This window comes from Homo sapiens, chromosome 2 (assembly GCF_000001405.40).
Source record: "Homo sapiens chromosome 2, GRCh38.p14 Primary Assembly".
NCBI lineage: Eukaryota > Metazoa > Chordata > Mammalia > Primates > Hominidae > Homo > Homo sapiens.
The window spans coordinates 200,896,822-200,918,853 of NC_000002.12; the positions used below are offsets into that span (position 1 = coordinate 200,896,822).

The window sequence follows — 22,032 nt, forward strand, 5'->3', positions numbered from 1 at the left end:
AATCCACCCACCACAGCCTCCCAAAGTGCTAGGATTATAGGCATGAGCCATCGCGCCTGGCCTGATTATTGATTTAAACATCTGCCTTCCTAGAAAACTGTGAACTCCTAGAAGAATGATTTTGTCAGGTTTGTATCCCCACATTTAGCCTGGAGCTTGCTATAGTAATCTCACAGTGTGCATGTTGATGATTTTAGCATTTGTTGTTTTAGGACTAACAATGCACACCGTTTCTAACTTCTGTTTCTCCTCAGCCTTTGCTTCTACATACTGGAATGGGACGGTTATGCACACTGGATGAATCTGTCTCCCTGGCAACCATGATTGATCGAATAAAAAGACACCTAAAACTATCTCATATTCGCTTAGCCCTTGGGGTGGGGAGAACCTTAGGTAAATATAGCTCCTTCATCTATCCAGTATGCCTACTGTTAACATTGGACAAAGATCGAAACTCTTGGTTGTATTAATATGTGATAGAGAATGTGTTAGCAGCTCATAGGAGATAATTGGTTTACGTTATTGATTAGGGTGGGCCAGGTTCTGATGTGGAATACATCTCATTGACTTAATCAATGAGATTTATTTCTCTGTCATGCTATGTGTTCATTTCAAGTTGGTCATTGTAGGAAGTCTGACCATTGTAGACTGGTTGCTGTTGCAGAGGGAGGGAGTTTTGCAGGGTCTTAAACCATCAGTTTAAAATTCCAGGAAACATGTTAATTTCTGCTCAACTCATTTTCCAGAATTAGTCATGTTGCCCAATACAAGCAAGGGAGGCATAAAGTGCAGTCTTACCATGTGTCAGGAAGAGAGCTGGAATCATGATTGCTACAATTACAACATAAACTTTGCACTTATAAGACTGGTAATATTTTCTAGTGAGGTGCTACTGAGTGATCTGATCCATTGTAGTTTCTAAGTCTTGTAGTTTTTTCTTCTGGCCTTTCCTGGTACTTTTGAGAACAAAAAGAGTGAACAGACATTTGTTCAACACCTTCAGTGAGCCTAGCACTGTACTGATTGTCTGTCCTAAGTACGTGAGCTCCTGCTGGCAAAAGCAGTGGGGTACAGCGGTTATAGGTGTGGATTCTGAGCTTAGACAACCTGGCTTCAGATTTGTCTGTCCTGTTTGCTGCATGTCTTTGACAAGTTTATGCCCTCTGTGTCACAGTAGCCTCATCTGTAAAAACTGCATTAATAAAACCTAACTCAGAAGGTGGTAGTATAATCCATGTGACATGGCACAGTGATTGGCTCACATTAAGTATAAAGTGCTAGCTGTTGTTAGTTTTGTGGTTGGTACTATTTCTCCCATTTTATAGGTGAACAATTGTGGTTCAGAGAGATAAGTAACTTTATTAGTTCGTTCTCACGCTGCTATGAAGAAATACCTGAGACTAGGTAATTTATAAAGAAAAGAGGTTTAATTGACTCACAGTTCTGCATGGCTGGGGAGGCCACAGGAAACTTACAATCATGTTGGAAGGCACCTCTTCTCAGGGTGGCAGGAGAGAGAATGAGTGCAAGCAAGAGAAATGCCAGATGCTTATGAAACCATCAGATCTCGTGAGACTCACGCATTATCACAAGAACAGCATGGGGGAACTGCCCCCATGATCCAATTACCTCCACCTGGTCCCGCCCTTGACCCGTGGGAATTATGGGGATTATATTCAAGGTGAGATTTGGATGGGGACACAGAGCCAAACCATATCAGTAACTTATCTAAAAGTCCAGTTAGATCAAACAACCCAAGGGAGTTAGTGTCCAAAGAAAATGGATAGCAGAGGTGGGATTTGACTTCCAAAATAACTCCAAAGCCCCCTCTTTGAGATACCCTGCTGCTGAACTGGAGTGTCCACTAAAGTGTTCATTTTAGAAACCCAAGTGCTAAATACTTGGATTTTGGCTCGAAAGTTGCTGTTATTTCACTTTCCAGAGGATGCTTTTTGAGAATAAATAGTATATTTAAAAATAGTGCCAAATCCATTTGTAGCATTCCTCTTTTTATAGTCCTTTTAGTTCCTTAGCTTCCTCACCTGAGAATAGAGATAGTACTTGCTTACCTCTCACTGTTGTCTGAAGACCCAGGTGAGATTATTTTACCTAGCACTGTTGCAATACAGCCTAGAGCTGCACCATTAGTACTATTCAGTGGTTTGTGAGTTTGTGCAGCCATGTCCAAAGGAATAACGGTGCCCCCTTCAGCAGCACATATACTAAAAATTGGATGATATAGATTAGCATGGCCCCTATGCAAAGATTACACGCAAATTTGTGCATTGTTCCGTATTTTGCGCAATTTACAAAGGTTGTTGAAAAAAAAAAACACAACAAAGGAATAATAACCATGCCTTGGGTTAGCTATGCAATATCAAAGAATGACCTGTTTGCTTATATTAAAACATGTTTTTTTTAAAATGCAGTAAGAACAATTCATATACTGGTGATGAGACCAGGAGTGAAATCTGTATTATGTTTAGGATTCTTGGTACAAATTATAATAGTAAAATGAAAGGGAATTGTAAAGTATTGGTCTCTTGTTTCCTCTGTTTTGAAGAGTCTCAAGTCAAAGTCGTGGCCCTGTGTGCTGGTTCTGGGAGCAGCGTTCTGCAGGGTGTTGAGGCTGACCTTTACCTCACAGGTAGGACAGACTTTGGATCTCTCTTGGTTTATTTTTTGCAAAATCAAAAATGGCAAATTTTAGGACAGTACCTGGCACATAGATGATACCTAATTAATGTTTTCTGAACCTGAACTAAACAGAAACTACAACAGAACTGGGGACTTACTGCATTCTTTGTGGAGGGATGAAATCATTGAACAGTTTATTACATTATCTCAAAAGTTAATGGTCAGCATTTATTTTACCTACATTCTTCCTAAACTGTCCCAAACCTCTCAGATTTCACATCAGTGGGATACTTTCTACCCTGTCACCTTAGCTAGGAAATGGTTCCTTTTACTCAGCCTAAAGCCAATCATCAATTCCTATCAATTCAAGCTCCCAAATCTTTCTAGAATCTTCCCCCTTATCTCTATCCAGGCACCATCTCCTACTTGAAGTACAGCATCAACCCTCTAATGGTATCTTCCATATACTCTCCTGAAATTAACTTTTCAAAGTGCAAATTTGATGGTCTTGATTAAAAAGACTTCAGTGATTTCCTTCATCTGTCTGGTGGAGCCTGAACATTGCATCCCCTTTCCTGTACCCTTTGCTTATGCTGTTTTCTCTGGCTAGAATGCCTTTTCCTTGTACTCCTAGTGATAAGTGAACACCCCCTCTGAGAAGCCTTCTCTGACACTGTCCTGCTCCTGCCTCTTGTGGGTCCCTATCACTTTGTCCTTGACCTCCAATGTGCACTTCTGTTGGATAGTAATTGTCTGGCTGCTGGGCCTTATACTTTCTCATTTAGGATACTACCTAATAGGTCCTGGCTAATTTTTATTGAAAGAATTACTTTATGTAGTTACTACTCAGGAATATGGCCAAACATGGCCCCTTACACCTCCAAAGGATTTGGAGGCATTTTAAGGGGTTGCCACTTTGTTTACCTCCTCCTTCTTAGGGTTAGGAGAGAATGAGTTAAAGAATTACTTTTCCCACTTTGAGGACCAGGCTCTAGGCTCTTAGCCCTCTGGCCATTCCTTTGGCTACTTCCATGCTTCCCTTGCCTCCCACACCCACACTTTGTTATATAGCACACTCTCTTACAAAGGCTGCTGCACTCAAAGCATTGTCACATCCTGAAGTACCGAGGAGCAGCATCTGAGCAAGCCTGATGGAATTGCTCTAAACCAATAAATTGATTTAAAAAAACAAAACATGTATGTGACTATTACTTATTTTATATTTTCTGAAGATAAAAGATTTTTGTAAGCCCTTAAATTTCTACCAGATTAAAGTGAAATTTCAATATGAATATCTTACAGTATTGTGTCTGGCTATTTTAAAATTCATTTTAGCATTTTACTTAGGAATTTCAGACCTATGCAAAAGTTGCAAGAATAGTATACTGAACTCCTATATGCTCTTCACCTTGGTTACTATGGTTATATTCTGCCATATTTGTACATTCCCTATGTGCATATTATATATGTGTCTATACACATTTGTGTTTGCATGTATAGATACATAATATATACAAGTTAAAATATGTTCTATATATATATTGATGTATTTCCCCTAGGACCATTTTGTAATCAATTGCAGACATGACAATTTCTTTACCTCTCAATACTTCAGTGTATAGTCTAAGAACAAAGACATTCTAAGTCCATGGAACAATTATCAAACATGGGAATTTAATATTGTTAAAACACTTACTTGATATACAGTCCATATTCACATTTTCCCAATTGATAAAAGCTTATAGCATTTCTTTTTCTGATCCATATCCAGCCAATGATCTCACATTGCATTTAGTTGTTGTTAGTCTCCTTCAGTCTGGAATAGTTTCTCAGCTTTGTCTCCATAGCATTGACATTTTTAAAGAGTATAGGCTCTTTGTTTTGTGCTTCTCTCTCAATTTGGGGTATCTGTTTCCTTATACTTTTTTAAAAACTAGTTTTTTAAAACAATGATAAAGTATAATGATACGTGCATAAGATAAATTCAAGCAGTTCCAAAATGTTAAAATGTCCTTCCTATCTGGCTGTGGGGAGAAATAGAAAATATATTATCCGGCTAGCATTAGCTGTCTCTGGTCTGTGAGGCATCACTTTTGAGTATAACTTCAGAGATGTGAAGCCCCACCTAAAGGACCTCTGCTGAACTTCATCACGCTTCCTGTGAGCCTGAGGCCGTGTTCTCATTGTATTAGGTTGTTAAGGGTAATACCCCGTAAGACCAGCAGATGGGGAGCCTGCTCCTTGTAAATTAAGTTCTCCCATTTGTCTTTTCATTCTCCATTTGCTTATTCTTTCCCAAGCTGCCATCCTGGGCCAAGCTTTTCTTTCCATTGGCTTCAGCTATTATTGCAGGGTCTTCACTGATTTCCCCCCTTTCATGCCTTCTCCAGCCAATGAATTTGTCACAGTACAGGCAGCCAGACTTACCTTTCCTAAAACAAGGCTTCCAACTGGGCCATCTTAGTGTCTTTTTCTTGCTTTTTACTTCTACTATTATAGATTAAGATGTTTTAAAAGGTGCTTGAATAAAAACTGTTCCTTATAATGAGATGACACTTATTAGGAGGAGATTGTGGGGAACTAAAAAATTCTGGAATTAAGAAAACTCATTTTTTTACTTATAGGTGTTTTCTTATGGGAAAATTAAAAGAGAACTCATTTTTTTCCAAGAACCCTTTTTTCTTAAATTTATATGCCCTTCTGTCTCTAAATACAGTTCAAAATTGTACTTTTTAAAGAACAAACCTAATTGTACACAGTACAGTTTTGCTCTTAAATTAGAAGTCATCAAATTCACAAACTGCATTTTAAGAAATTCAGAATATTAGGCTGGACATGGTGGCTCACGCCTGTAATCCCAGCACTTTGGGAGGCTGAGGCGGGCAGATCACTTGAGCCCAGCAGTTCGAGACCAGCCTGGCCAACGTGGTGAAACCCCATCTCTACTAAAAATACAAAAATTAGCCAGGCATGGTGGTGGGTGCCTGTCATTCCAGCTACTCGAGAGGCTGAGGCAGGAGAATCACTTGAACCCAGGAGGCAGAGGTTGCAGTGAGCTGAGATCGTGCTACTGTACTCCAGCCTGGGTGACAGAGCAAAACTCCATCTAAAAAAAAATTAACAATATAAATTAAAAATTCAGAATATGAATTTTCCCCAAATCTTTTCACAACAGATGAGATTCCCTCCAGAGTTTCTAGGGATTTTGCTTAAGTCAAAGAAAAATACTTTGTTTTTAACCTGGAAGTAATCTTAAATTCATTTCATCCTTATATATTAGACTAAGTTGACGACAGAAATACTGGTGCTTACAAAGCATAAGTCTGCTGGGCAGTATACATATAATTTCCTCCAGAGGTATTTATTACTTACATAAGAGGCAAATTTTCTGAAGGCCTCATTTTACTTGGCAGTGATCATTCATTTTACCGTGGAAACACTTTGAATGGGTGTTTACAGATCTGGTTCTGGCCAGATATGTTGGATTGGATAATTGCCTTGGGGTCTGCTAAGGAAAAAGAAGTTGGAATTCTCAGTGGGATGGATTTTATTTTTATATTTTCAAGATAGTCTTACTCTGTCACCCAGGCTGAAGTGCAGTGGTGCAGTCTCGGCTCACTGCAACCTCCAGGCCCTGGACTGAAGCTATTCACCTGTCTCAGCCTCCTGAGTAGCTGGGATTACAGGCACGCACCACCACGCCCAGCTAATTTTTGTGTTTTTAGTAGAGATGGAAGTTTCACCATGTTGGCCAGGCTAGTCTAGCACTCCTTAGCTCAGGTGATCTGCCTGCCTAGGCCTCCCAAAGTGCTGGGATTACAGGCGTGAGCCACCGCGCCCAGACTTTTCTCTCTTTTTAAGTTGGAGGACATAAAAGAAAACTGTACACTACTTTCTAGATTTATATGTAAAACAGTTCTGCTCTATTACATTCACTTCATATAGACTACAAACTTGGTATTTCTGCTTTTGTGTTTCCTCATTCCACAGATTCCATATTTAGCATTTAAGAATTTGCTCTTCCCTTTTTGGTAGGTGAGATGTCCCATCATGATACTTTGGATGCTGCTTCCCAAGGAATAAATGTCATCCTCTGTGAACACAGCAACACTGAACGAGGCTTTCTTTCTGACCTTCGAGATATGCTGGATTCTCACTTGGAGAATAAGATAAATATTATCCTATCAGAGACTGACAGGGACCCTCTTCAGGTGGTATAATTGCAGAAACATCAGGATAACACATTCTACAAATCAGCTGGATGCCAACTTAAATTTGTAACATGAGTCAGTGGGACTGGTGTGCTTCCAGAGAGTGTCTTCGAGGGTATCATCATTTCCGGTTTGTTAATCTTATTCACCAAATGTTCTATCGCTCGTAAGGTAAAACTGTAATATAACTACCATATTAAATAACAAATGTTCATTATAAACTCTAGGAAAGATTGAATAAAATCTGTTTACTTAACATTCTTTGGAAGGAGCTCAAGTGATTCTGTCCTTAGTTTAATTGTAGATGGGATGGATCCATTTGGGTATCTCTGCCCTTGGTTAGTTAACATTATGCTTGAAAAACTTGGGCTTGAACACTTCTAGGTAGTAGCCTTTTTGCAGTGATAAGAAGTTCTGTTTGTCCTTGTTCCTAGTTCTGCCTACATTCCAGTCTCTCACCTAAATTTCAGAATCAGAATGAGATTTATCAGGATGTTGTTTTGAAAATATGTATACACAATCATTATTCATATTACTGTTACTTTATTGCTTTTTAGATGACTTACCTGTAATTTTTTTTTCTTCCACAGTCCTTTGTTCCCGATTTCTGCTCTGTCACTTCCCTCTCCTGGCAATGAACTTGGCTGCCGCAGGCAGGGGGCAGGGCCAGGGAATGAAATTCCAGAGCAGAAAGAACAAAGTCAGATATCTCAAAATATCATCCTGCCCCATTTAATCTGGGCCTTTTATCCATGTGGATGCCCCTTTCTAAACAGCACCTGCGCTGGGCTGCGAGGCCCCTGCCTGCCTGCTGCTGGTTGGGCAGGGCAGATACACCTTTCTCCACCTGAGGACTGCGTTCTCAGGTAATCTGGCTAAAGCAATATTCCCTCCATTTTAGGCATTCTTAGATTGCTTTTATGATTTGTGCTATTTTACCATACCACATGTAATTTTTACTTCATGCTTTTGTGTAAAGCAACTTTTTCTCTTTTTGTTTATTTTTTATTGTGGTAAAATTCACATAACATAAAATTCGCCATTTTATTTTCCTGCCCCCCCCTTCCAAAATTCACCATTTTAAAGTATACAATTCCGTAGCTTTTAGTACATTTACAGTGTTGTGGTACTGTTACCACTACAGTTCCAAAGCATTTTTCATCACCACAGAGGGAAGCCCCCATTAAGTAATAATTCCCTCCTCCCATCCCCTGGATCCTATTTCTATGGATTTGTCTATTTTGGATATTTTCTATAAGTGGAATCATAAACATGTGGTCCTTTGTGTCCGGCATCTTTCACTTATGTTTTCTCCATTACTGCCGCCTTTTGTGTTTGATTTTTTTTCTAGTATTTTGACTCCCTTATTTCCTTTTAAGTATCTATTTTATCTTCTTACCTATCTTTAAAGGAAATTTTATGTGACATCCATTATAACTTAAATATTTACTTAATCTATATTAAATACAGGATTATTAAAATACAAAGGAACACTGCTCAAAAGAAATGTCATTTTTTTTTAATGTCATTTTTTTTTTTTTTTTGGAGACGGAGTCTCACTCTGTTGCCCAGGCTAGAGAGCAGTGGCATGATTACAGCTCCCTGCAACCTCTGCCTCCCGGGTTCAAGCGATTCTCCTGCCTCAGCATTCCAAGTAGCTGGGATTACAGGCACACGTCACCATTCCCAGCTAATTTTTGTATTTTTAGTAGAGACGAGGTTTCACCATGTTGGTCAGGCTGGTCTCCAACTCCTAGGCTCAGGGGATCCGCCCACCTCATCCTCCCAAAGTGCTGGGTTACAGGTTGAGCCACCGTGCCTGGCCTGAAATGTCATTTTTAAGCTTAGTGTCTAATGACATGTTTTGTGTTGTTTTGCTGATTTAATAAATAAGGCCAGATACTGACATGAAACAGTGGTTTAGTAATCCCTTATCTACTCCAGAAAGCTGAAGGCTGAGGAAGGACATGCACATTCCCTCACAGGTGTCACATGAAAAATCTTCCCTATCCTGTAGGACTTAAAAGGTCGCCTTGGATGCCCACATGGACAATACATTCCAGGTGGAAGGTTGCAGATTGTAGGGAATAGTGTCACCACCTTTGTTGTGCATCCATGACACCTTATATAATCTCTTGTGCACATGTATTAGAGGGTGCTCCATACCAATCTAGATCAGGATCCAAATCAGACACTAGTGCAGGAAAGAAGTGAAGCTGGCCAGGAGGTGGCAGCAACAGTTCAGCCCAAGGCAAGTGCTGCTGGGCAGAATGAAGGTCCAGCGTGGCCAAGTCTTCCTGATCTTTCAGGGGCAAAGGAAATCTGGATTTTTAATATGTGGGGTGTTAAAATATACATATATTATCATATATAAAACATACATATATACATGTTTCTGCACAGTTCCTGGCTTATAACTCCTCTAGCCCTTGTTACAGTCTTTTAGGTGTGTTAAGCCTCAGGGGCAGGCCTCAGGAAACAATCTCTCAGAGTTCTCCTGCCCTCCTTTCACCAGTCCCAAAGCAAAATCCTAATCTCCCTCCTTTTTCTTTTTTATTTAGAGACAAGGTCTTGCTCTGTCACCCAGGCTGGAGTACAGTGGTGTGATCATAGCTCACTGCAGCTTCAAACTCCTGGGCTCAAGTGACCCTCTCTCCTCAGTCTCCTGGGTAGCTGGGCCTACAGGCACCTGCCACCACCCACCCCCTACTGACTAATTTTTTCAAATTAAAAAAATTTTTACTTTTGTAAAGACCGGGTTTTGCTACACTGCCTAGGCTGGTCTTGAGCTCCTGAGCTCAGGGAATCCTCCTGCCTTGGCCTCTCAAAGTGCTGGGATTACAGGTGTGAGCCACTGAGCCTGGCCGTTTTTTTTTTTTGAGACGGAGTTTCACTCTTGTTGCCCAGGCTGGAGGGCAATGGCGTGATCTTGGCTCACCACAACCTCCGTCTCCCGGGTTCAAGCGATTTTCATGCCTCAGCCTCCCGAGTAGCTGGGATTACAGGAATGTGCCACCAGACCCAGGTAATTAAGCATTTTTAGTAGAGATAGGGTTTCTCCATGTTGGTCAGGCTGGTTTCAAACTCCTGACCTCAGGTGATCCGTCCTCCTCGGCCTCCCTAAGTGCTGGGATTACAGGCGTGAGCCACCACACCCGGCCTTATTTTTTTTTATTTTTTATTTTTTGTGAGACAGAGTCTCACTCTTTCACCCAGGCTGGAGTGCAGTGGCACGATCTCAGCTCAATACAACCTCCGCCTCCCAGGTTGAAGCAATTCTCCTGCCTCAGCCTCCCAAGTAGCTGGGATTACAGGCATTCGCCACAATGCCCAGCTAATTTTGTATTTTTAGTAGAGATGGGGTTTCACCATGTTGGCCAGGGTAGTCTAGAACTCCTGACCTCAAGTTATCCACCTGTCTCAGCCTCCCAAAGTGCTGGGATTACAGGCGTGAGCCACTGTGCCAGGCAAATGCTGCCATTTTAAGACCTACACTTTGGGTACCAAAGGTAAAGATGTTGACCCTAAATACTTGGGAAGCCTGGGGCCAGTGATAAATATAAAAATTGGTATGAAAATTTAGTAATGAGCTTTGTATTGTACTCATGCTTAAAGTTATATTTTCCATAGCATCAGTCTTTTCAAATTTGCCTTATTCAACACATTAAGGATGCTACAACTTATGCTATTAAAACCTCATAGGCTGGGTGAGGTGGCTCACACCTGTTAATCCCAGCACTTTGGGAGACCCAGGTGGGTGGATCACTTGAGCCCAGGAGTTCAAGACCAGCCTAGGCAACATGGTGAAACCCCATCTCTACAGGAAAAAAAAAAAAAAAAAAAGCCAGGTGTGGTGGTGTGTGCCTCCTGTAGTACCAGCTACTCAGGAGGGTAAGGTGGGTGGATCACTTGAGCCCAGGAGGTCAAGGCTGCAGTGAGCTGAGATGGCACCACTGCACTCTAACCTGGGTGACAGAGACCCTGTCTCAAAAACAAACACTTATAGACATTTCATATTTCACCTTAATATCCTCACAACTACTGCCTTTTGTGTAGTAAGTGTTCAAATTTAGGCTATTCAGGATTATGCTGGAAGAGTAATTTGACCTCATAGAATATAAAAAGTACATTCTGAACAATGCCACTGCCTCCACATTTGAATTAGCTGGAACAAAGAGTAGACTTCTAAAGTTATTTTGTTTAAAAGTTAGGCAAAATCTATTTATCAGCCCCCAAACCAACTGATCTTTTATTTTGAGACAGGGTCTCACTCTGTTACCCACCAGGCTGGAGTGCAGTGGCATGATCACAGCTCACTGCAGCCTCAGCTTTCCTGGGCTCAGATGATCGATCCACCTAAGCCTTCTGAGTAGCTGGGACTACATGGTGCGTGCCACCATGCCCAGCTAATTTTTTGTATTTTTAGCAGAGACAGGGTTTCGCCATGTTGGCCAGGCTGGTCTTGAACTCCTGGCCTCAAGAGATTGGCCTGCCTTGGCCTCCCAAAGTGCTGGGATTACAGGTGTGAGCTACTGCGCCTGTTTCCACTGAATTTTTTTTTTTTTTTTTGAGACGGAGTCTCGCTCTGTCGCCCAGGCTGGAGTGCGGTGGCGTGATCTCGGCTCACTGCAAGCTCCGTCTCCTGGGTTCACGCCATTCTCCTGCCTCACCCTCTCAAGTAGCTGGGACTACAGGCGCCCGCGACCACGCCCGGCTAATTTTTTGTATTTTTAGTAGAGACGGGGTTTCACCGTTTTAGCCAGGATGGTCTCGATCTCCTGACCTCGTGATCCGCCTGCCTCGGCCTCCCAAAGTGCTGGGATTACAGGCGTGAGCCACCACGCCCGGCCTCCACTGATCTTTTATATGAGTGAAGTGATCATGTATTAAAATAACAAACAATGCTAAGAAAGTCCAGTTTCTGGACTACTGTGAGAACTAATTTAGCAGTCCTTGCACAATAAATTCAGCACTGTGGCAAATTTATAAACAATAAATGTTTGACATCTCCTGTGCCTTTTTTTTTTTTTTTTTTTGCAATTTTATTAAGAGTACCCAGAAAACCTTTCAAGGTTTCAGTAGATCTGTTCAATCTTGCCAGAAGCAAGTTAACACAGTAGAAGAAATTAGAGCCTTATCAGTCAAGACATAATTGCTAGAGCCTCAGGGACACCGATGCGGACACAAGTCAACAAACAGCATACAATAATGTGCCAAGATCTTCACCAGATCTGTAAGATGCACTCATAAAACTTCTTTTGAAGAACTTAAAAATATTTTTAGTAAAAAACCAGCACTACCAATTTATAAAGTGATTCTATCCAAATTGGCTTTTTATTTATTAATAATAAAGTCTACTGACACATACTGCTTGCAAATAGTATAGACACAAAAATTATAAAAATAAACCAGTAGATATTTAGGGCAGATGCAAAAATTTGCACATTAGGTCATTATAAACTAGATATATTAAGCAAAAAAAGCAAGGTGCAAACCAGCAAGTATGATATATTACCAATTGTGTTTTTAAAAGGAGAAAGACAGATACTTTTACATATGCATAGACGATATCTGGAAGAATACTTAAGAAAATGCTATCAGTGGTTGCCTAAAGAACTGGGTGGATCAGGGAGTGGGCAGGAAACTCACTTTCACTGAATATCCTTTGGTACTATTAAAAAAATTTTTTTAAATCACATTTATGTACAAATTTGTTTAAACATTTTGACTAGAGGTTATATTTAAGACTAAGCCCTTGGCCAGGCATAGTGGCTCACCCCTGATCCCAGTACTTTGGGAGGCCGAGGCAGGATCACTTGAGGTCAGGAATTCGAGACCAGCCTGGCCAACATGGTGAAACCCCATCTCTGCTAAAAATTCAAAAACTAGCCAGGCGTGGTGGCGTGTGCCTGTAGTCCCAGCTCAGGAGGCTGAGGCACAAGAATCACTTGAACCCAGGAGGTGGAGGCTGCTGTAAGCTTAGATCACGCCACTGCACTCTAGACTGGATGACAGTGCAATTCCATCTAAAAAAAAAAAAAAAAAAAAAAAGACTAAGCCCATGGACTTAACATAAAATTACTTTTTAAAAAAATGATTTAAAAAAAAAAAAAGACAAGGTCTTGCTCTGCACCCAGACTGAAGTGCAGTGGCACAATCATAGCTCACTGTAATCTTGAACCCCTGGGCTCAAGCGATCCTCCTGCCTCAGCCTCCACAGCAGCTAGGACTATAGGCATGGGCCACCATGCCCGGATGATTTTTTAAATTTTTTGTAGAGACAAGGTCTCACTATGTTGCCCAGGCTGTTCTTAAACTCCTGGGCTCCAGAGATCCTCCTGCCTTGGCCTCCCAAAGTGTTGTGATTACAGGCATAAGCCATTATGCCTGGCCAAAATTACTTAATTATATGCCACAAGAAAAATTATTTAAAAATTCCAAGGATTTTTGGAAATATTTTCATGAAAGAGGTTTACAAGATAAGAAATGAGTGAGAAATGCTGACGTAGTACGTATTTTATTGCAGTGATATTTTCAGGAAGAACTTCATTTCCAAGTGTCAAATATTTCAGGGGGTATGTGATGACTGTAAGCTGACAACAGTAGCCAAGGTGAGCCTTTTTTCTTTCCTAAGAAAAAAGTCTCGCGCAAATATTCAGGAGGTTTGAAATCATCACTTTAAGGAAAAAACTGAAATATCTTACAGTGAGTTTTAGGTCTACTTGACAGAGGAATCAAAATTAATTTACAGCCAGCCATTAATATGCTACTCACCTGCATGTTGTTCAAGAAAAGAAAAATATGTCAATATACAAGAATAATGAAATGTTTTATTTTTTGTTGTCTTGAAAACAATTACTAAAATGTAATTCAGGATTTTATTTCTCTAGCCTGGCTTCTCACTGGTATCATGAAGGTCATGGCACAGACAATAACTGTTCCAAATATATGACGTATTGTTCCTGTGCTTTCTAGGCTGGGTAGATACCCTATATACTCTGTTTTTCCCATTATCCCAACTGAATAGTATTATAATATATTCCCTCCCCTGCCCCCACCAAGTACATAGCCTCAATCCAAAAGGAGAAAGCTGGATCACTCACCTCTTCCCAATCTACACCTTTTAAGTTGTTTTAGAAACAATAAGAGATGACCTGCCCTCTCCATTACACTCGTTGGTTCTGACACACAGAATAGCAAACAAAACCAATTTACGTGATGCCCATGTCTTTATACTTCCACACTCTGGAACAAACACACTTGCAAACAATCAGCTCGGGGAGTGTTAAAAGGCCCTCAAAAAATTCAGAATATCTCTAAGTATAAAATAATTCAAAAACATCCAGTTCCAAATAGTCCCTGAGCACACTGTTCATTCCAGCAAGAAGTCTCCAGAGAGGTAATGAATGAAAGGCACATTTTCTCCAACTTGAGGACCGCTGCATAGTACTAGACGGTACCAGCCAGGCTGATCAAAAAGTTCTAATTGAGGACATCCCCCCCTTCCCAAATTTAAATCTTGTATGCTGGAAAAATAATTTAATGTCAGATGTAAACACAACACTTTCAACTAGAGGAGTGGCAGCTGGGGTACAACCCTTCCATGGGAGATTCAAGAATAAAGGAAAGCTTCAAGCCTCCTCTTCTTCCTTTTCCAAGAAATCAGTCAATGTTCCATTATCAACAGGAATTAATAAATACTCTACTCCATCAGTTCCCTGAAAGATTTAAGAATACCTGTACGTTAGTCATTCATAAGAGGTATATGAACTCTTCTATTGTAGAGGCTAAAGAAAAAATGAATTTATTTCTTGGATGTAATTTTTAAATATATAAGTATAAAAAGGCAAAAGGGCACACAGTCATATATACTTAAATATATGGAGTTATAGTTAAACATCCTTATAGTGGAAAAGACAACTAACTAGAGGGTGGGTAGGTGGGTATTTATTTTTTTCATTGTGCTTTAGATCATTCTTCACCTTCCTGCCCTGTTTAGAATCTAACACTATTGATGTCTGTGTCCTTTCTTCCTCCTTTCAACAAGAACCTTCCCTGTTGGCTTTTAAATATTTAATACATTCAAGTGTGTCCAATTTTTCAGTAACCCTCACTACACACCTTCATTCCTCTCCATCTATCACATTATCTCTGCACTTCTCCAAGCAAGTTGGCTATGATGGCAGTCTCCATTTCCACACTTCTCATTCAGCACAGTTTAACTGAGCTACTGTTCCCATTATCACATCGTTTGCTTAGACCATCAGGAATTTTATATTCCTAAATCTCACAGATATTTTCAGTCTTAATCTTTTTGGCCTCTCAGCAGCATCTGACACTGCTGACTATTTTCTCTGCATTAAAACATGCTTCTCTTGGCTTCTGTGACATCACATCCTGGTTTTCTTCCTAGTTCTCTGGCTGTTTCTCTCACCTCTGCAGGCTTATCCTTTACTTTTGTTAAATGTCACATTTCTGGCCTTATCTCCTAGCTCTCTATTCTCACTAAACGTCCTCCCTTTAGGTAGTACCCCAATGCCTGGTTTCAGTTATAATCTAAATATATAAGAATCATAATCTTCTCTCTCCAACCCATATCTTTCCTCTGGTTTCTTGTCCTAGGTATCCAACTGCATAGTTGACATTTCCATTTGGAAATCTCAAAGGAACCTCAAACAGAGTTGTCTAAACTGATTAAGATCATGAACTCATCATCTGTCTCCCTAAAATGTCACTCTTTCAGTGTGTGTGTTTTGTTCTTTTTGAAATAGGGTTTCACTCTGTTGCCCAGGCTGGAGTGTGGTGGCACGATCATGGCTTACTGCAGCCTTCACCTCCCAGGCTCAAGTGATCCTCCCACCTCAGCCTCCTGGGCAGCTGGGACTACAGGTACAGCTGCGTGCCACCACAACCAGCTCTTTTTTTTTTTTCTTTCATAGACAGGGTCTCCTGTGTTGCCAGGCTGGTCTCGAACTCCTGGGCTCAAATGATCTACCCACCTCGGCCTCCCAAAGTGCTGGGATCACAGGCGTGAGCCACCACGCCTGGCCTCCTAGTCTTCCTTTAGATCTCAGCTCAGTGGTCTCTTCTGATATCTATCCATAATTAGGTCAAATCCACCTATTTAAATAAACTCTTTCAGAACTATGTACCTTCTAATCATAGGACTTCCTTACAGTTAAAATGTTATGTGTGCGATTACTTGACTAATGTCCATCTCCCCCATTAGACTTTAAGCTCCATAAGAAAAGCAATCAGATTTTTGCTTACTACTGTATCCTAATACTTAGTGCAATATCTATGTAGTTAGTACTCAATAAATACAGACCAAATTAATGAATGAGCAAGAGGGAAAAAACAAAAGAACAGAATTATTTGACTCACCATGTTTCTAATTGCCTATTACTCTGGACTAGAACATGTGAGTTTTCTGCTCTGCTCTGAAGCAGGGTACTTCTACCATGGCTCTTTCTACAAACTCAAATGGCACATCCCCTAAATGAATCTCTGTGACTCAACAGGGAACATCAGTTTCAAAATCAGGTCTAAGTCAAACATATATGTGTCCTTAAGTAAATGATACGGACTATTCCTGGCATACAATGCTACAATAGTGGAGTCTTACCTTCTTTGTTCTTATAAGCTTGTGGTCCCTAAATTCAGTTAACTGGGCCCGGAGTGTCAGATCACTATTGACGAGGAATGCCTCCCGACACTGCTGGTAAAAATCTTGAAAAGAAAGGCCTGGCAAGTTCAAAAGGATATGAACATAAGTCAGCACTTAAGACATGACCCAATATACAAACACCCATACAAAAGAACAGAATAAAAGTGCTATTTGCATGTTATCCCAGAGCAGTGAACAAGTATTGATAGGACTTTTAAAGAAGGAACAAGTAAGTCATGAGAGCAGAACAATTATTAAAATGTTTGTTGAAATCATTTTTGCCAAAGGGGAAGAAAATCTCCTAAGATGCCTAGAATATGAAAAATATGTACTTGGCAGATACACATCCATAGTTAGCACAGAAAATTTTAAAAGTAAGCTGGGTTTGTCTTTCAATTTGTGTTGGCAAACACCTTGCTCAGCAGTGGATCTGTAGAGCTGCTTGAAAATTTGCTATGTGGCAGACATACCCATCATGAGTGACCACTTACTCACTGCTGTGAAAAACTGCACTGCTGTCATTAAATTCCAGAGACAGGAAATGTACAGGGTAAAACAAAAATTACACAATTGAATGTCATAAATATTGGATACCAATGTAAGAAGGGTTATCCTGGTTGTCCAGCTGGTATTTTATTAGTAGCCTGAAAATTCCCCTAAAAAAAAAAAAAAACAGGAATTTAAATCCAAAAATGTTAACATCAAAAGGTAACAACTAATAGTAAAATACACAAAGAAAATGTCAAGTAGTTGGCCTATCCGCATTATCTTCTGTTCCTCCAAGGAATATCATATCCTTGCCTACTTAAACAGAAAGCTTTCTAATTTCTTTTTTTTTTTTTTTTTTGAGACGGAGTCTTGCTCTGTTGCCCAGGCTGGAATGCAGTGGCATGATCTTGGCTCACTGCAAGCTCTGCCTCCCGGGTTCACGCCATTCTCCTGCCTCAGCCTCCCAAGTAGCTGGGACTACAGGTGCCCACCACCATGCCTGGCTAAATTTTTTGTATTTTTAGTAGAGATGGGGTTTCACCGTGTTAGCCAGGATGGTCTCGATCTCCTGATCTCGTGATCCGCCCGCCTCGGCCTCCCAAAGTGCTGGGATTACAGGCGTGAGCCACTGTACCCGGCCCGCTTTTTTATTTCTTCTAAAGAAAAATATAGGCTGAGTGTGGTGCCTCACACCTATAATCTCACCCCTTTGGGAGACTGAGGTGGGAGGACTGCTTGAGCCCAGGAGTTTGAGACCACCCTGGGCAATATAGTGAGACTCTGTCTCTATAAAAAATTAAAAAATTAGCCAGGCATACTGGTATGCGCCTATGGTCTCAGCTACTCGGGAGGCTGAGGTGCAAAGATCACTTGAGCCTGGGAGCTTGAGGCTGTACTTGAGTGACAGACACCCTGTCTCAAAAAAATAAAATATGAAAGTATTTTTTTCTTACTTTTTAGGTTAGTGTTGGTAGAAAAGCTGGAATACAGAATAACATCTAAAGAGAAAAATATCAATCCCATATCCATTAACACTTGGTGTTGAGATCATACTGGGTATGCTGTTATCTCAAATCTTTGTGCAATGAGGCGGGTGGAAATAACAGAAATTCACACATTTATATACTGCATATACCACTTTATACCTTGCTTCTTCACTTTTTGATTCTTCCCACGTCTTTTTTTTTTTTTTTTTTTTTTTTTTTTTGAGACAGAGTTTCGCTCTTGTTGCCCAGGCTGGAGTGCAATGGCGCGATCTTGGCTCACCGCAACCTCTGTCTCCCGGGTTCAAGCGATTCTCCTGCCTCAGCCTCCGAGTAGCTGGGATTATAGGCATGTGCCACCACCCCAGCTAATTTTGTATTTTTAGTAGAGACGGGGTTTCGCCATGTTGGTCAGGCTGGTCTTGAACTCCCGACCTCAGGTGATCCACCCGCCTCGGCCTGATTTTTCCCATGTCTTTAAAACTTCTCCTAAACAAGTTTTTCTTTTCTTTTTTTTTGCCACATGTAAGAAGAACTTAAGGAAGTTTTAACAACTGCTTATCTACCATGTACCATAAACTTACCATTTCCCTATTGGTTTGGATGTTTACATTATTTCTAAGTTTAGATTAAAAATAACTCTTAATGGATGACTGGATACAGAAAAAATAACTCAGCACTAAATAAAACTGTACGTATTTCTTTGTATTTTGAATTATTCCATGGAAGAGTGAACCAAGTAGAATTATGGGGTTAGAAGCAGTATTACACAAACTAAGACTCCCATCAGTCCTTGGGTATGCCAAAAATTCAAAACTTATATGAATTTTCATTGTTATGCAGGTCCAGAAAACAATTACTATAATCATATTTTGGATCATCTCAATGAACACTTTTTTTTTTTTGAGACAGAATCTCGCTGTTGCCCAGGTTGGAGTGCAGTGGTGCGATCTTGGCTCACTGCAACCTTGGCCTCCCAGGTTCAAGCGATTTTCATGCCTCAGACTCCTGAGTAGTTGCGATTACAGGTGGACACCACCACGCCCAGCTAATTTTTTATATTTTTAGTAGACACAACGTTTTACCATGTTGGCCAGGCTGGTCCTGAACTCCTGGCGTCAAGTGATCCGCCCACTTCAGCCTCCCAAAGTGCTAGGATTATAGGAGTGAGCCACCGCATCCGGCCCTCAATGACTACTTTTTAACTAGGTACTACTACTAACTCCAGAGCTGAATTTTGGTTAAAATTTTTATTCAATCACATACCAAGTAAAGTCTAAATGATACTGGAGTTTGCAGAATCAAGCAAAATTTCAAAATAGTTTAAATAAGAAAATGCTGAGGCTAGCACACAGACATTTAGGCATGCCAAACTAAAAAATACTTGCATTAGACTGGGCATGGTGGCTCATGCCTGTAATCCCAGCACTTTGGGAGGTCAAGGTGGGTGGATCACTTGAGGTCAAGAGTTCAAGACCAGCCTGCCCAACATGGTGAAACTCCATCTCTACTAAAAATACAAAAATTAGCCAGGTGTGGTGGTGCATGCCTCTAGTCCCCGCTACTTGTGGGATGCTGAGGCATGAAAATTCCTTAAACCCCAGAGAGGGAGGTTGCAGTGAGCCGAGATCTTGCCACTGCACTCCAGCCTTGGCGACACCATGAGTCTCCATCTCAAAAAAAAAACTTGCATCAGCGTAGCCAGTGCCATATTTAACGTTTTGAGTTCTCACACTGCATGGACCCTCAACTTTACACACAGCAACTTCCAACAGTCCTTCAGCAGTTAAGGACTTTTATTATTAGTAATAACAAAACAGAATGAAGACTTTGTCCCCAATTCCATCAAAAAATTTCATTAGATAACCATTTAATGCCTATTTCAATTTTTTTATTTTATTTTATTTTATTTGAGACGGAGTCTCGCTCTGTCGCCCAGGCTGGAGTGCAGTGGTGCGATCTCGGCTCACTGCAAGCTCCGCCTCCTGGGTTCACGCCATTCTCCTGCCTCTGCCTCCTGAGCAGCTGGGACCTCAGGTGCCCGCCACCACGCCCGGCTAATTTTTTAGTAGAGATGGGATTTCACCATGTTAGCCAGGATGGTCTTGATCTCCTGACCTCGTGATCTGCCCGCCTTGGCCTCACAAAGTGCTGGGATTACAGGTGTGAGCCACTGTGCCCCACCTTTTTTTTTTTTTTTTTTTGAGACAGAGTCTCACTCTGTTGCACAGGCTGGAGTGCAGTGGTGTGATCTTAGCTCAATGCAACCTTTACCTCCTGGGTTCAAGCGATTCTCCCTCCTCAGCCTCCCAAGTAGTTGGGATTACAGGCATGCACCACCATGCCCAGCTGATTTTTTAATTTTTAGTAGAGATGCGGTTTCACCATGTTGGCCAGGCTGGTCTCGAACTCCTGACCTCAAACGATCTGCCTGCTTCAGCCTCTCAAAGTGCTGAGATTACAAGCATGAGCCACCGCGCCCAGCCTGCATATTCCAATATTAATGCAAGGCTTTATTTTTACTTTTTGTAGAGATGGGGTCTACGTTGCCCAGGTTCGTCTCAAACTCCTGGCCTCATGCAATCTTCCCTCCTCAGGCTCCCAAAGTAGTAGAATTATAGGGGTGAGCCACTATGCCTGGCCGAGTTGAATGCTAATCTCATCTTCAGTGTTCAAATCAGCTTTACAGAGTAACAACATTCATTAAAATTAGCATTTGAGGGTTAACATTTGAGTCTTGTGGTGATGGTACAGCTGAGTGTATACATGGAGGTGGCAGTCATACAAGGCTACAAGTGACAAAACTGCACAGAACTTACACACACGAGTGCAGCATGTATAATAGTGAAATCCAAATATGGATGGGATTATAACAATGTCAATTTCTTGGTTCTGATACTGTACTGTGTTTATATGAGATGGTGGTGGTTGGTGGAAGTTGGTGCTTTGGGAGGAGGGTACATGAGACTTCCCTGCATGTATTTTTGTAGCTTCTTCTGAATCTATAATCATCTCACAACAAAAAGTTAATCCCTCCACCACAAACACACAGGTAAAAGAAAAATAAATGGAAAATAAATTGCTAGGGGGGGTTAAAAAAAAAAAAGATATCCCCAAAGTCCCTGTGTACACTCTCCTCTATCTATTCCCCTTTATTCTTCTCCAGGGTTGGTACCTAATTTTTTTTTATTATTTTTAGTACCTAAAAAGACCTAATTCCATGCACATTTTAAACTTTTATTCATACTGATATATACATTTGAATGCTATATATTTTATATGGTTTTATTTCTACAACAAACATCTGTTCAGTTCAGCATTTGTCCTAAACGAAAATATCTGGTTTGGACAATATATATCGTCACACTACTATCATCCCATATAAGTCAATATCCTGGCTGCCAATGCTGCTTCTAAACCAAGAATGCAGCTGTGCTGTGGCTTCAACTCTGCTCACTGATTTATCATTCTGTTGTATTGAGATGTTTGTATTTTGAGCCAGGGTATTTATTTTTAAATTCTGTCTATTATGCTGTGTGTTTGGAACAAGAGGGGATGAAAGGAAAGAGTGAGAAGTATTATGCCATCTTGACCACAAGTGTCCCTTCATTGCTCTTTAAAAACAAAAAAGAAATTGTCTCTGCTAGACTTGCTTGTTCCCTCTTTTTTTCTTTTTTCTTCTTTCTTTTTTTTTTTTTGAGACAGAGGCTCACTCTGTCACCCAGGCTGGAGTGCAGTGGCGTGATCTTGGCTTACTGCAACCTCCGCCTCCTGGGTTCAAGCGATTCTCCCACTTCAGCCTCCCAAGTAGCTGGGATTACAGGTGTGTGCCACCAAGTCCGGCTAATTTTTGTGTTTTTAGTAGAGACAGGGTTTCAGCATGTTGACCAGGATAGTCTCGAACTCCTGACTTCAAGTGATCCACCCGCTTCGGCCTCCCAAAGTGCTGGGATTACAGGTGTGAGCTACCACACCCAGCTGACTGTTTATTCTTTAGGAAACTAAATTTTCTTTCAAATTTAAAACAAAAAAATTCATTTACATT

At 40.8% G+C, this 22,032-nt stretch overlaps 2 protein-coding genes and 1 pseudogene across 19 annotated transcripts in view; 2 read left to right on the forward strand and 1 right to left on the reverse strand.

Moving 5' to 3' along the window:
• Positions 1 to 7,111, forward strand: part of NIF3L1 (NGG1 interacting factor 3 like 1) — a 14,606-nt gene extending 7,495 nt beyond the window's left edge. For 8 of the 11 annotated variants that reach the window (NM_001369444.1, NM_001136039.2, NM_001142355.1 and 5 more), the window contains 3 exons: positions 255 to 393; positions 2,564 to 2,647; positions 6,673 to 7,111. In NM_001369444.1, the coding sequence (NP_001356373.1) occupies positions 255 to 393; positions 2,564 to 2,647; positions 6,673 to 6,857 (408 nt within the window). In that variant the 3' untranslated portion in view covers positions 6,858 to 7,111. The remainder of the gene's footprint in view (positions 1 to 254; positions 394 to 2,563; positions 2,648 to 6,672) is intronic. The other 3 variants (NM_001369441.2, NM_001369445.2, NM_001142356.1) reach the window with 2 other exon arrangements.
• Positions 2,199 to 2,300, forward strand: RNU6-762P (RNA, U6 small nuclear 762, pseudogene; annotated as a pseudogene).
• Positions 7,112 to 12,155: 5,044 nt separating the features above from the next.
• ORC2 (origin recognition complex subunit 2) overlaps positions 12,156 to 22,032 on the reverse strand; it is a 54,684-nt gene continuing 44,807 nt past the window's right edge. For 6 of the 8 annotated variants that reach the window (NM_006190.5, XM_011511252.4, XM_006712555.5 and 3 more), the window contains 3 exons: positions 17,110 to 17,171; positions 16,474 to 16,592; positions 12,156 to 14,566 (listed from right to left, as the gene is read on the reverse strand). In NM_006190.5, coding sequence (NP_006181.1) covers positions 14,480 to 14,566; positions 16,474 to 16,592; positions 17,110 to 17,171 — 268 coding nt within the window. In that variant the 3' untranslated portion in view covers positions 12,156 to 14,479. Of the gene's footprint in view, positions 14,567 to 16,473; positions 17,172 to 22,032 lie in introns of those variants that run through there. The other 2 variants (NR_033915.2, XR_002959301.2) reach the window with 2 other exon arrangements.